Raw genomic sequence first — 13,845 nt, forward strand, 5'->3', positions numbered from 1 at the left:
TGGGAAGCCACAGATGGGAGACTGGCTTGGTGGGCACAGTAGGGCAGATTAGAGAACATATAGGGGTTCCAGGGGTAGCAAATTTCAAATCATTAGCAAATATCAACCCTCAGATGCCTGAGAAGGACCCACCCTAAGAGGGAATGGCTATGAATGCAATAGAGAACAAACATGGTGGGATGTGTGTTGGGGAGGGGTGGAAGACATGGAAAGGGCATTGGGGCCTGTAGAGGGAAAGATTTAAGAATCAGCCTGACTTAGTTATTTCAGCTTAGAATTAGAATAGGCCAGTAGTCCATGACTCACCTCCCCCATCTTCTCACCCAAATTCCTATAAATAACCAGAAAAGAATGGAAATTCGGCCAGGCGTGGTGGCTCACGCCTGTAATCCCAGCACTTTGGGAGGCTGAGGTGGGCAGATCACGAGGTCAAGAGATCGAGACCATCCTGGCCAACATGGTGAAATGCCATCTCTACTAAAAATACAAAAATTAGCTGGGCATGGTGGCGCACACCTGTAGTCCCAGCTACTTGGGAGGCTGAGGCAGGAGAATCGCTTGAACCCAGGAGGCAGAGGTGGCAGTGAGCAGAGATAGCGCCACTGCACTCTAGCCTGGTGACAGAGCAAGACTCTGTCTCAAACAAACACACAAAGAATGGAAATTCATGCCACCAGTGAAAGCTAGGATTGATGATGGATTTATTGCCAGAACTTGGGAAGAATTTTTACTAAAGCCCTATAAAAGTGGTCAAATAAAAAAAATTAAATGAAAATCAAATCCACAAAGATTAGAAACCAGTCTTAGCCAATTTTGGTGAGTTGAGCACTCTCATATACATTTGATGGGAATGTAAATTGGCATGAACTTTCTGGAAAGCATTTTATAATAGCATATGCATTAATAGGTTTAAAAATATTCATACCTGGTGGCCCAGAAGTTGAATTTTAGGAATTTATTCTAAGGAAATAACCAGGGGTGAGGTTAAGTATTTATACAAAGGAATGCTTGTTCCAGGTTATTTATAATAGCAAAAATAAAAGAGTATATTCTAGATTATTTCCCCCATGTTGAAATAATTTTTAAAAGTATAGTGTATTCAGAGGACAGAATATTATACAGGCAGTAAAAATGTAATTTTAAGTGTCCTATTTGGAAGAAATAAAAACATATAAATAAAGAAGCCTGGAGACATCCTACATCTGATAACATGGCAGACTAAATAGTTGGGCTGATTCGTCTGCCAAAAACAACAGAAATGATAAAATAAATAATAAAATCTAAAGATATCAGGTAACAAAATAGTAATGAATTATAAGATAACATCAAAGTAAAGAATAATACCTAGAGAAATCATCTTGCAGAGATTTGATTTTTTAAAACTATGCCTAAAGTTTACTCAAGGAAGAGCATCTGATAAGAGAGCTTTCCCCCCATAAACCAAGGACTGCAAAAGTGTGGATTATCAGAAGAGATCCGGTACATTCAGGGTGGTATGGCCATAGACAAGGGCTGGGTTATCAATGTAAGGGTGAGAGATAAGTCTCCTCTCCCGTACCCCTACCACCAGGAGCCAGCAAGGCAATTTGTCTTAGTGCCACGCTGGACAACCACAAAACCACAAAGATTTGTGGTTGAGAAGTTGCAACCACAAATCACCCCTCAATATTTGCAGCCCAAATTCATATTACTATTATAGCATGGTTCAAAAATCCTCAAATTATAAATTTGGTTTACAATGACCTTGGACTGGTGATGCTGACAAGAAAAAAATTTACATGGAAGAAAAACAATATCAACCCTCTCTAGATAAATTCACTTTATCCTGGAACTCAAAGAAATTTCACAAAAATGTTTCCAAGGAAAATGAGCAGCCTGTCACACAAGGAAACAAGGTACTGTGGTATGTTCGAGGAAGGTATGTTTGAGGAATGCCCCCAATTAATGTCCTGGGGACATTATTTAATGCTCTAGGGACATTATATAATGTCCCCAGAACTCATAAATCAATAAGAAAGAGATAAACAGCTTAATAGAAACACAAAGAAAAGTCCGTTCACAGAAAAGGGAAGGCAAGAAGTTAATGAAAGTAGGAATAATGACTGACCTCACTTATAATGAAGAACATGCAAATTAAAAAATGAGGTAACATTTACTTCACCTGTCAATTGGCAAAAATTAAAGCTGGATAATGGCAGAGATGATGAGATATGGGAAATGGATGCTGTTAGGTACTGCTGGTGGAAGTGGCACCATCAAAAACAGTGGAAATAGCAGATCACAGAAAGATATCTGAGGGGACTTCAGATCTCAGAATTATCAGGCTCAACTATATTTACTATGTACAAAGAAAAGCTTAAACATATCGGTAAATTCTTTTAAAAGATCGATCTAGAATATTTGGAAAAAATCAAATAGAAATTCTAGAAATGGAAAAAATATATTAATTAAAACAAAAATATGGGTGGCCAAGTGGGGAGGATTGCTCGAGCCCAGGAGTTTAAGACTAGCCTGGGCAACATAGTGAGACCCTGTCCTTACAAAACATTTTTTAAAGATTAGCTGGGTGTGGTGGCTCATGCCTGTAGTCCCAGCTATTTGGGAAGCTGAGGTGGATTGCTTGAACCCAGGAGTTGGAAGCTGTAGTGAGCTATGATAGCACCGCTGTACTCCAGCCTAGGTGACACAGCAAGACCTCGTCTCTTAAAAAACAAAACAAAACAAAACAAAAAAACAACAACTGTGGATTTTGTAGCACATTAGAAACAGCTGAAAAGTGGATTATTAATAAAAAGGTGAAGACATAAACCCAAGTCAAATATGGGCAGACAAGAAAAATATGAAAGTGGGACAGAGACATGGAGGATAAAGTGAGATGGTCTAACACCTATGTTATATTCTAGGAGTTCATTTACTCTATAAGTGTATATTTTTAGCAAATATTGTACCAGACACTTTGCAAAGTGCTGGAGAAGAGTAAGACAAGAGGGTTTCCTGTTTCCTGAGTGGATTCTGGAGTAACACTGGGCCACCCAGTTGAGACAGACTGCCTTCAGGCTGGACGCGGTGGCTTGCGCCTGCAGTCCTAGCACTTTGGGAGGCCAAGGGGGGAAGATCGCTTGAGTCCAGAAGTTGGAGACCAGATTGGGCAACATAGAGAGATCCCCCTCTCTGCAAAAAATTGAAAAAAAGTCCCAGCTACCCAGGAGACTGAGGTGGGAGGATTGCTTGAACTCAGGGCTTCGAGGTTGCAGTGAGCTATGATCTCACCACTGCACTCCATCCTGGGAGACAGAACAAGACTTCTCTCTCTCTTTCTCAAAAAACACAAACAAACAAACAAACAAAAACCCCCCACAAAAAACAGCTCCGATGCTGGCTCCTCCAGGAAGCCTTCCCTGACTACACATACACACACGCACGCACACTACCCGGGGTCAGGAGCCTCTTAAGTGAGCCGGTTAGATCCAGTGCGCCCCCTATCTCCTCTGCCCCTACGCCTCGCGCAAGGCCCTCGCAGCCGGAATAGTCGCGCATTGACCGACTGGACTCTAAAGCCCCTTGGGGCAGGTGCTGTGTCCAGTAGTGTATCTGGCGATGCACCGAGTCCTTTCCACGGAGGGCAAGCAGGTGAAATGGCACGGAAGTGGAAGGGGCCTAGCCACAGAGCGCCTCGAGCTGGGCAGTCAATCCTGGGGAAGCCCTGGTGGTCTTCGCCTCGCCGGGTTCGGAACAGCAGGCTGGGATCAGCAACCATCGAGACGCATCCGCCGAGACCTCCGAGCATCCTAGAGAGGACACGGAAGCGAGTCTTTCCTTACGCACCTGTCTAACAGCGTCCGCAGCTCACTTCCGGACCGCGGATAGCACTGGCGACCCTAGCGGGTGAGAGGCCCTTCAGGGCCGCGGCGGGTGAGAGCCTCTTCAGGGCCGCAGCGGGTGGCGGGCGAAGTGGTAAACGGGCGCGGGGACGGGTTTTGGTGCCGCTACGGGGCTCGGCGGCAGCGGGGTTGCAGTAGAGCCCGTCTCCCTCCGCTCAGCCCCGGCTGAGGGCGGCAAGTCTCTCAGGAGCTGCCTTCAGCGGCCCCGAGGCCCTGCGGGTCTGGACGCTGAGGGGCCGCCGCGCTGTAGGCTCAGGTAGGAGCGAGGCTGATCCCGCTCTGCCAGGCTTGGCTTAGTGCAGGGCTGGCCACGAACCCGAAGAGATCTTGAACCAAAGCAGAACTCTGTGCAAAGTGAAAGTAATCACATAGGACACTTATTTAAAGAATAGTGATGAGCCAGCCTGGTCAACATAGCGAGACCCTGTCTCTACAAAAATTGAAAAGTAGCCGGGCGTGGTGGCACGCGCCTGAGGTCCCAGCTACTCGGGAGGCTGAGGCAGGAGGATCGCCTGAGCCCAGGAGTTCAAGGTTGCACTGACTTACATTCATGCCGCTGCACTCCAGCCTGGGCAACATGGGGAGACCCTGTCTCTACAAAAATAAATAATTAGCTGGTCATGGTGGCACTCGCCAGTAGTCCCAGCTACTCGGGAGGCTGAGGTGGGAGGATCGCTTGATCCTAGGAGGCAAAGGCTGCAGTGATCGCACCACTGGTCTCCAGCTGGGGTGATAAAACCCTGAGATCCTGTCTCAGAAACAAAACAAAAGAGTCACAATGGGTGGGGGGAGATAAAGAATAGCAATGGGGCAATTTCTATTTGTCAAATGGCAGAGATAAAAGATGAATGAGGATCTTTCTTGCCTCCAGGGAATCTGTTAGAGGGAGACACATGGGTAAACATTTGCACTGTAGTGCATTAAATGCACTAGTGGAGTGAACCAATGCAATAGCTAGAAAGGAATGAAAGAGAAATCTCAATGTTGCAGAGTCAATGAATAGACTGAAAATATAAACTTGGTTTAAGTGGGGGTAGATAAATACACAAACTCACAATAGAATATTTAGCAGAAGCTTTGGGGTGTGCCTCCTGCCAGCTGCCCATTCTCTGCTCCAGTCAGGTGATCTTTCCGTTTTCTGACAAGCAGGATCTCCTTCCCCTGGTGCTTTGGACTTCCAAGTCTGTCTTCCCAGTCTAGGTCTTCCGCATAATCCACTTGGAGGTAAATAGGACTCATTCTCCAGTCTACTTCAAGCCTCTTCTTTTCCTTGAGTACTTGGACTTAGATTAGTTTTCTCTCTTTTTGACTTCACATTTTTTTTTCAATCTGTACCATGTATTTTGGGAGGCAGTTATCATCTAGTCTCTTTTTTTTCTTCTGAGAAGTAGGAGGAGTAGCACTCATCCTACAGAAGTGTTTTAAGTATTAGATGAAATATGTGTTCACATGCTTTCTAAAGAGTAAAGCCTGTACAAGTTAGAAATCTTTAGGTCATTTGTCATAATGGTATATATGTTGCTCCATTGTCTTTTTCAGGTTGAGCGCACCATCACATCTAAGCCATCAGCAAGTTTGTTGGTTTTAATCTCCAAAATACGTCTTGATTTTGTCTGACTCTTTGCCACCACCCTGATCTAAGCCCTTATCATCTGCTTGAATCACTGTAAGTGCCATTTCCCTCTTGCCACCTCTAGCCTATTCCCTGTCAACACACAGGCAGAATGACTTTTATAAAACATGTAGTTCCTCGCTAAAGTAAGAAATAAGAATAAAGTTCATAATTCTTTCTGTGGCGCAGGCTCTGGGTGATCTGGTTTCTGTCTGCCTCTGCCACCTCTTCTGGTGCAGCTCTGCTCGTCACTGCTGAAGCCACACTGGGATATGGCTTGTTCTTGGACACCCAGAGTAATTTCTTAGCCTCAGGGCTTTTGCCTGGAATGCTCTTAGAATGACTGACTCATTCTCATCCTTGAGTCAGCCTGGTATCATGTCTTTAGAAAAGCCTTCTTCAAGTCAGTTGCCCCCTGTTAACAGAGCACCCTACTTATTTTCTTTCTAGAACTTGTCTCCACTTGCAGTTTTTAAAAGAGTTGCTTCCATTTGACTTTTTCTGTCTGCTGTACCAGCATATGAGTTTCAGGAGGGTAAGCTCCCAGTGTGTCTTGTTTTCTATTTTATTTGTTGTTTCTGCCTGCCTCTTGTGTGTGTATATGTGTGTGTTTGTGTGTTGCATGTATGTTTCCTTTAGTATTGGAAGAGTAGGCCCTGGTGACTCACCCAGTTATAACCCATTATATATTATTCTCTGATTGTAGTGTTATTCTCCAGTGAGATCCTAAGTTATTTGTGGGTATAAAAGCAAAATCTTAGACATTTTCTGTTTAGTCTCTGTACCTAATAGTTGCTTAGCAAATGATTACTATGTTGAATTGACCTGACTTTTGGGATCTGTGTTCAGTCTTTTGAAAATGCCTTGTAAAAGGTAATTACTGTGTTCTCCAGTGGAATATTCCTTGATGTAGAGACAGAACTGGGATGGGCTGACCTTTCATGTGTCTCTTGTTCTCAAAAGGGTCATTGATGCAGTCATTCTCAGTCTCCTCGGAGGGAGTCTGAAGATGCTTAAAGAGCATCCAGAGATGGCGGAAGCTCCTCAGCAGCAGTTGGGTATTCCTGTGGTGAAACTGGAGAAAGAGTTGCCATGGGGCAGAGGAAGGGAGGACCCTAGTCCAGAGACTTTTCGGCTGAGGTTTCGGCAGTTCCGCTACCAGGAGGCAGCTGGACCCCAGGAAGCTCTTAGGGAGCTCCAGGAGCTCTGTCGTCGGTGGCTGAGGCCCGAGTTGCACACCAAGGAGCAGATCCTGGAGCTGCTGGTGCTGGAGCAGTTCCTCACTATCCTGCCCCGCGAGTTCTACGCCTGGATCCGGGAGCATGGCCCAGAGAGTGGCAAGGCCCTGGCCGCCATGGTGGAGGACCTGACAGAAAGAGCACTGGAGGCCAAGGCGGTGGGTGAGGAGGGGATCCAGGTCTGGCGCCCTTGGCGTGGGCAGGGAATGTTAAAGAATCCAAAGATTTGAGGAAGCAGTAGGAGTGGACGAGGTGTGGAGCCGCCCTCCTCTGCCCTCAGACTCCCTGAGGTTCTTTTTGGAGAGCAGTGGCGTTTTCAGCAAGAAAGGCCATTCCCAGGGGAGATGCTGCCATGCAGAAGGGCCTGAAGCCTCTGTTTGGTCATGAGGGCAGAGGCCTGGCCATATTTCCCTTGTGGGCATCAGGCAAAAAGAAGGCAGTTGTGATTGTTTTTGGGGTCCCTCATAGACCTGACCCTGCTTTGGACAGAGATGCCTCTGGGAAGGCAGAGAATCCCACCTGGGGAATATTTTTCCGGAAAAGGGTTGTCCATGGCAGTACTGTTTCTCTGTGGCTCATAGGGCTCCTGTAACAATTCTCTGGTGCTGCTCTAATGACACCAAGTGATTTGGCACCGCACGTGCTTCCTTGAGGTTCCAGCCATATTTCGGTCACTTTGTGGTACAGCCCCCTGATGGATGACTGGGAAAGGAGAGCAGGACTGATGACACCGTCTTGCTCACAAGCCCCCGTCCTTCTGTAGTTCAGCCTCCCGTGCACACTCTCGTCACCCTGACTTCCTGTCTTCAGAATCCTAAGAGAATTTTTTCCTACTCAACTCAGGAGCTTAAAAGTGGACCCAGAAATGCCTTGTTTTTGTGAGTACTTCTCAGTGAGAGAGTCCTCCTGATTTTTCTTGCTCTTTTTAATTTATTATTTTTGAGACAGGGTCAGTCAACAGCCTAGGCTGGAGTGCAGTGGCACAATCCTAGCTTACTGCAGCCTTGAGCTCCTGGCTCAGTTGATCCTCCCACCTCAGCCTCCTGAGTAGCTGAGACCACAGGCATGCATGCCTGGCTAATTTTTTTATTTTTTGTAGAGATGGAGTCTCGCCATGTTGCCCAGGCTTCCTGGCTCTCTTTAAAGCAACTATTTCTCACTGGCCTGTTCACTGCAGGGTCTAGGCTTTGCATTTTTTATTTTCAGCTTTTTCAATTAGGAATTTTTTTTTCTAGTAGTGAGTATATTGTGTTAAAATCCTCAGCAGGATAATATTTGGGCTTGGTGATGGCAGGTAGAGGGGACCCTTGTCAAATGGCGTGGACAGATAAAAGTTGCTCAGGGCCTGATGCATGAGTTTAGCTTCCTTTTCACTTCCTCACTAATGTCCTGGGGAAGAGCTCAGCTGATTTTTCCTTCCTCTCCCCTGAAGCTGGAATGGTTCTTTTCTTGGTTCTCTTTTTAGATTTTAGTTCAACTCCCTTCATAACAGCCTTGCCCAGGCCTCATTCTAATCGGTGTTGGGAACTGTTCTTAGGTTCCATGCCACAGGCAGGGAGAGCAGGAGGAAACAGCACTTTGCAGAGGCGCTTGGGAGCCAGGCATCCAGCTGGGGCCAGTGGAGGTCAAGCCTGAATGGGGGATGCCCCCTGGGGAAGGAGTTCAAGGTCCAGACCCAGGTACCGAGGAGCAGCTCAGTCAGGACCCTGGAGATGAGACACGGGCCTTCCAGGAGCAAGGTGAGTAAGACGCAGATAGTGGGGATGTCAGGTCATAGGAAACAGTGCTGTGCAGCCAACTCTCTTCAGAAACCCAGCAATGGAGCAACTAAGTTACCCACGAGGTGTAATTGTGAATTTTCTTGGCTACTTCCTCCACCTTAGGAAATAGATGAAGTGAAATTGTTTCTTCTCCCTTTACCCTCTGGTGTCTGGAGGGGATATCTGGGATCATGCTTTCTTATTATTTCTCTTTTCTTTCCCTCAGATCCCTTCTAGAAACTACCAAGAAATATTCAGCTGACTTGCAGGAATACTTTTTCAGTAGGCAGATAAACCATATCCCCCAAAGTAATATGTAGCTTTCTTTCTTTCTTTCTTTCTTTTTTGAGATGGGGTCTCACTCTGTCACCCAGGTTGGAGTGCAGTGGCGCGATCTCAGCTCACTGCAACCTTTGCCTCCTGGGTTGAAGCAATTCTCCTGCTTCAGCCTCCCAAGTAGCTGGGCCTACAGGCATGTGCCACCATGCCCTGTTAATTTTTTTGTATTTTTAGTGGAGACGGGGTTTCACCATGTTAGCCAGGATGGTCTCGATCTCCTGACCTCGTGATCTGTCCACCTCAGCCTCCCAAAGTGCTGGGATTACAGGCATGAGCCACCGCGCCCAGCCCACGTAGCTTTATTTTGTTATTGAATCTCATAGGAGGTTATTCCCAGAGTGTGACTGGGTAGCATGGGTAGCCCTGGACGGACAGGGCCGGGACAATCTTGCCAGCTGAGAACAGGAGACACCCAGGCCCCAGCTGAGAATAGGGCAAGGGACACCCAGGCCCCTGTGCATGGGAAAGTGTGGTACCAGAGTGAAAAGGGATTCTGTCTGGAGTCTTCTGGTTCCTGAGGTTGTGAGCATCTGGTAGGGGACACATTTGAACGAGCTAACAGCATAACATCACTGATCCTTCTGATCTTTCTCATGCTTTTTGTCCCTGCTCAGCACTACCTGTTCTGCAGGCGGGTCCTGGCCTCCCCGCAGTGAATCCCAGAGACCAAGAGATGGCAGCTGGGTTCTTTACTGCTGGATCGCAGGTGAGCTCTGACTCCCTTTGCAGAAATCATGACCGTTGCTTTGATTGAGGTTCACCTTCCCCAAGGTTTCTCTGCACAACAGTGTTCCCTTCCCGCCCCAAGTTGAGTCATTCTCCCTTCCTAGTCCCGGTGGACCTGATGGTGTGGTTTCCTCCACTGAACCATCAGCCGCAGTTGTTAATTTACATCGAACCTTATGTCTGTCGCCCAGGCTGGAGTGCAGTGGCACGGTCTTGGCTCACTGCAGGCTCCGCCTCCTGGGTTCACATCATTCTCCTGCCTCAGCCTCCCAAGCAGCTGGGACTACAGGCACCTGCCACCTCGCCTGGCTAATTTTTTGTATTTTTAGTAGAGACGGGGTTTCACCGTGTTAGCCAGGATGGTCTCGATCTCCTGATCTTGTGATCCACCCACTTCGGCCTCCCAAAGTGCTGGGATTACAGGCATGAGCCACCGCGCCCAGCCACAGATGGACTCTTACAACTGTTACAGATAGAAACCCCCTAGGGCTATCTAGGCTGTGCTGATTGGCCCCGAGATAACCCTTTGTGGGTGCCGTTTATGGGTACTTCTGCTGCTGATTTTTCTGTTTTGGAAACTTTCCTGTCCCCTAACCTCAGCAGGAATGTGGCTGACTCAGGGTTGGGGCTTTCAGAAGCATTGAGCAGGGTGGTCTCTTTGGCCATACAGGCCACACTAGGAGTTGGACCTCGTTAACATTACTCATCTGCCACAAATGAGGTAACTGAAGCATAGATGGGGTGCTCTCTTTTCCACAGGGTGCTGAGCACTAGTAGCAGGGAGGTGGGGGCTTTCCAGTGGGGCACCTTCCTCAAGGAGGCGAGTCTAAAAGAGTTCTTTGAAGAAGAAAAGGTGTTTGGCAGAAAAAAGAAGGGGATCAAGTCTGGTCCTGCTCAAGCCGTATTTGGGCAAGGCTGGATGCCAGCATCATTTCCCTTTTCCTGTTCTCCAAGGATGTACTTTGGAGGGGATGAGGAATGACATCAGTGCTTTTTAATTTGGTTGGATCCTCCCTTGTACCATAATAGTTCTTCGTGGTGCAGTGAGTGAGAAATTGAGGATGCATTTATTTTATCACAGCCTTGTTCTTAAGACAGGGCTTGGCCGAATGTGAACTTTGTTCTTGATGAGAAGGTAAATAGCGGCTGCCAGGCTCTGTCAAGCATGAGGTGTGAGTGGGAGGCTGCTGCAGAGTGGAAATGAGGTGACTTAGTTGTTAGGGGCAAGCTGAGCCCCAGCCACAGAGGCTCACAACTGCAGTGGCTCAAACAAGTGGATTACTCCCATTCAACTGTTGGGAGGAAGCTGGTTGGGAGGAAGTTGGATTACAGACATGAGCCACTGTCTCTGGCCTAGGATTCTTTCTTTATTCATAGCAATCTCCTATTGTTGCAGGGGTTGGGGCCATTTAAAGATATGGCCCTGGCCTTCCCTGAGGAGGAGTGGAGGCATGTGACCCCAGCCCAGATAGACTGCTTTGGGGAGTATGTGGAACCGCAGGACTGCAGGGTCTCTCCAGGTAAGACTGTCTCCACCCACAGGTGAGGAACTGGGGAGTTCTGAAAGCTCAGGTCAGGGGTCCTGCCGTAGCTCTGGCGCTCCTGGCAAAGGAAGGGGACTTCATGGCAGGCGGGTAAATGGGTCCAGCACGGACCATGGGGCACGAGGAGCTGCTTTCCTGTGTCAATAGAGGAGCCAAATGATGGAGCAGGAAAACATGAGGCCATTATTCTGGCTGTATGGAGACAGGTCGGTCATGAGGACCCCCAAACACCTACATTGTGTCCATGATTAAAGACACTGAGGGCTTGAGAACAAGATACGAACAGCAAAAGATGGGGCATCTGAGCTTGTTCAGATATTTATTGAGTGCTCCCTGCATGTGGGCCCTGTGTTAGTGGTTTTCTCTTGCGGCAGGAAGTGGGCAGGACTAACGTGCACGAAAGCGTTGGAGCTCACGGTGTGCACGTAGGAGGGCACGAGGGGGCTTCGCGATGGGAGAGGTTGGAGTGGCCCGAGTCACAGAGGAAGCAGAGCTGCGCTGGGACTCAGGTGGTGGCTGGGTTTGACCTGGGCTCAGAGCCTGGGGGGATGCGGCCATTGTGTGTGACAGCAGCTCATGGGAGGAGGAGCAGCGAGAGAGAGCCCACAGGGGCTGCCAGCAGAGCGCACTGCGGGGCTTTGGGGCTGCCAGGGCAAGGGACAGTATGGAGAGTCTGCATGCGTGGAATCAGGATGCCGGCGGGGAGAGGAAACACTGTGGCTGGAGCGGCCTGTCCTTGTTCTTTGATTTTCTTCTTTTTTGTTTCATAACTTCTTTGTGAGTTGTACACTGACCACCCATCTGTACCGACCCCACCTAGCCTTTCCTTATCCTGAAATGCCTTGAAGGAAGAGCAAGATTATCCCTGTGCTTCCTTCAGGACGTAAGAGAATCCATCCTGCCCCTCCACTTGCTGACCCTGACCTTGAGCATCTCCCTTGAGCTTTCCAGGTCTCAGTTTCCTCTGTTGTGGAATGGGGCTGTTCATGGAACCTGTCCTCATGGTGCCATGAGGATGAAGGGAGGTGACATATCTAAATGTGTGGTGACCATGGTAGTGTTAGATTGTTTAGTTAGTGCTGTAAGTATTACTAAGGGATTCTTGTAGGAGCCCTCAGCCTTCACTCATTTATTCACCACAGAGGTGGACTTGGCTCTGTGGCCATTGCTGTTCTGGTCACTATGAAGAGTTAAAAATAAAGGCGCTTGCCTGTGGGGTCTTAGAGTTCAGGGGAAGAGGCCATGTGCATGTAATAGTGGGATACGGTAAGGGGCACTGGTCTCCTGGGAGACCTGGGTCCAGGGCACGGTTGACACAGTGTGGCAGTGATGCAAGTGGCAGAAAGATGTCAGCATACTTTATGTGGAGATGTGTGATTGCTGTAACGGCAGAGGATGACAGAACAAAGCAGGGGCTCGAGTGATGAGCCCCAGACAAAGGTGCCAGTGTCCTGGTGCCAGGGTCCCCCTCAGGGATATTCCCCTCCCAGTGATGCTGCTGTGTGGGGTGAGGAGCCCCTCGCCCCCATTCTCAGAAGATTTTCATGCTCTCCTGGCCATTTCTGACTGTTCTGGAGACTGGTTCTGTCCTTGTCCCCTCACCAGCTCAGTGTCTCAGAACTCAGAGCAACTCAAGCCCATACCTGAACATTTCTGCCGCCAGGTGACACGAAGGCCTGTTTCCCAAGTGTACCATTCACTTGCTGTCCCAGCTTTCAGGTCTTCCTGGGATTCACACTCGGGTTGTCCTGGTGCTTGTACTGACAGCTGCTTGGGGCTGGGCCTGAGCTGCTTCACCTGTAAAGAGACTGAATGCACAGGGCAGGGTTGAGCTAGGTGGCTGCCCAGATCACTTCCAGTTGTTCGTCTGTTCTCATTAGCAGACGGTGAGGTGCAGACCTTGTTGTCTGGGTTGTAATTGCAGTAATGTCCACAAGGACTGGAGCAAGAACTCACAACAGGATTTGGAATCACAGAGGCAAAAAGTAGCAGGTGCAGAAACCTGAATGCAGGACTCTGCAGGCTGGTTCCCAGGATGGTGAGGGTCCTGGAGTGAAAGATGAGTGCTCAGAGGAGTAAGGAGGAGGCAGGAGTGAGTAGAGTGAGGCCGCTGAGGAGTCCGTGAGGACTCTGGGTCCTTGTTTAAAAATTTTTTCTGCGCAGAGTAATGTGATGGAGGTTTTACTTGAGGAAAATTGGATTGACGGCAGGGTACGGCCAGTCTGGAGGGTTGAAATAGTGTAGGCACTGGGGTAAGAGCAGGAACCAGGCCAGTGGTCATGTAGAAGGGGGTTTACTGAAATATGCTTCCAAGGATGGGCCACAGATTGGCCAGAGGGGAGGAAAGAGAAGAGTCAGAGAGGAGTCTACGTCTTAGGATCCTGGCTAAGGGCCTGGAAAAATTATGTTACTACTGTCAGAAAGAGAGGGAAGCATTTTCCTAAGAGGGAGGAAGAATGGAAAGTTCCATTTGTTGACTTTGAGATCTAAGTGGATGGTCCCTGGAAGTAGCTGCAAGTCAGGTACATGGTCTGGGAGTTAAAATAATATCATGAACCATTGCATTCCTGCTCCATGTGTGCAGTAAACTTCATGAGTGTACAATCCATTTTGAAGGTGGTGAATGTAAGGCTCAGAGAGGTTAATTGATTTTCCCATGATCACACAGCAATTGAGCAGCCAGTGCAGCACTCAAAACGGGTTTCTCACTGCTAGGTCCCTTCTCTTCCACTACTGTGTCTTTCT

The 13,845-nt window shown here is 48.2% G+C and overlaps 1 protein-coding gene across 27 annotated transcripts in view, besides 2 other annotated features; it reads left to right on the forward strand.

The window, feature by feature from the left end:
• Positions 2,988-3,967: an enhancer, noted in NCBI's record as "H3K27ac hESC enhancer chr7:99213715-99214694 (GRCh37/hg19 assembly coordinates)". NCBI's record gives its function as "activates a minimal SCP1, AML or CMV promoter by ChIP-STARR-seq in naive H9 embryonic stem cells {active_cell/tissue: H9 hESC(naive)}" and the evidence as "EXISTENCE:reporter gene assay evidence [ECO:0000049][PMID:30033119]".
• Positions 3,558-3,877: an enhancer, noted in NCBI's record as "active region_26327". NCBI's record gives its function as "activates an Ori minimal core promoter by ATAC-STARR-seq in GM12878 lymphoblastoid cells {active_cell/tissue: GM12878}" and the evidence as "EXISTENCE:reporter gene assay evidence [ECO:0000049][PMID:35858748]".
• ZSCAN25 (zinc finger and SCAN domain containing 25) overlaps positions 3,842-13,845 on the forward strand; it is a 121,090-nt gene continuing 111,086 nt past the window's right edge. For 4 of the 27 annotated variants that reach the window (XR_927402.3, XM_011515909.3, XM_011515910.3 and 1 more), the window contains exons 1-7: positions 3,842-3,912; positions 5,421-5,547; positions 5,944-6,028; positions 6,457-6,889; positions 8,269-8,470; positions 9,445-9,536; positions 10,953-11,076. Coding sequence is in view for 23 of the 27 variants with exons in the window: in XM_011515909.3 (XP_011514211.1) it covers positions 6,503-6,889; positions 8,269-8,470; positions 9,445-9,536; positions 10,953-11,076 (805 nt within the window). In the remaining 4 variants the exon portion in view is untranslated. Of the gene's footprint in view, positions 4,138-5,030; positions 5,106-5,420; positions 5,548-5,943; positions 6,029-6,456; positions 6,894-8,268; positions 8,471-9,444; positions 9,537-10,952; positions 11,077-13,845 lie in introns of all 27 variants that reach the window. The other 23 variants (XR_007059990.1, NM_001350985.2, XM_047420020.1 and 20 more) reach the window with 13 other exon arrangements.

The sequence above is a fragment of the Homo sapiens genome, chromosome 7 (assembly GCF_000001405.40).
Source record: "Homo sapiens chromosome 7, GRCh38.p14 Primary Assembly".
Lineage (NCBI taxonomy): Eukaryota > Metazoa > Chordata > Mammalia > Primates > Hominidae > Homo > Homo sapiens.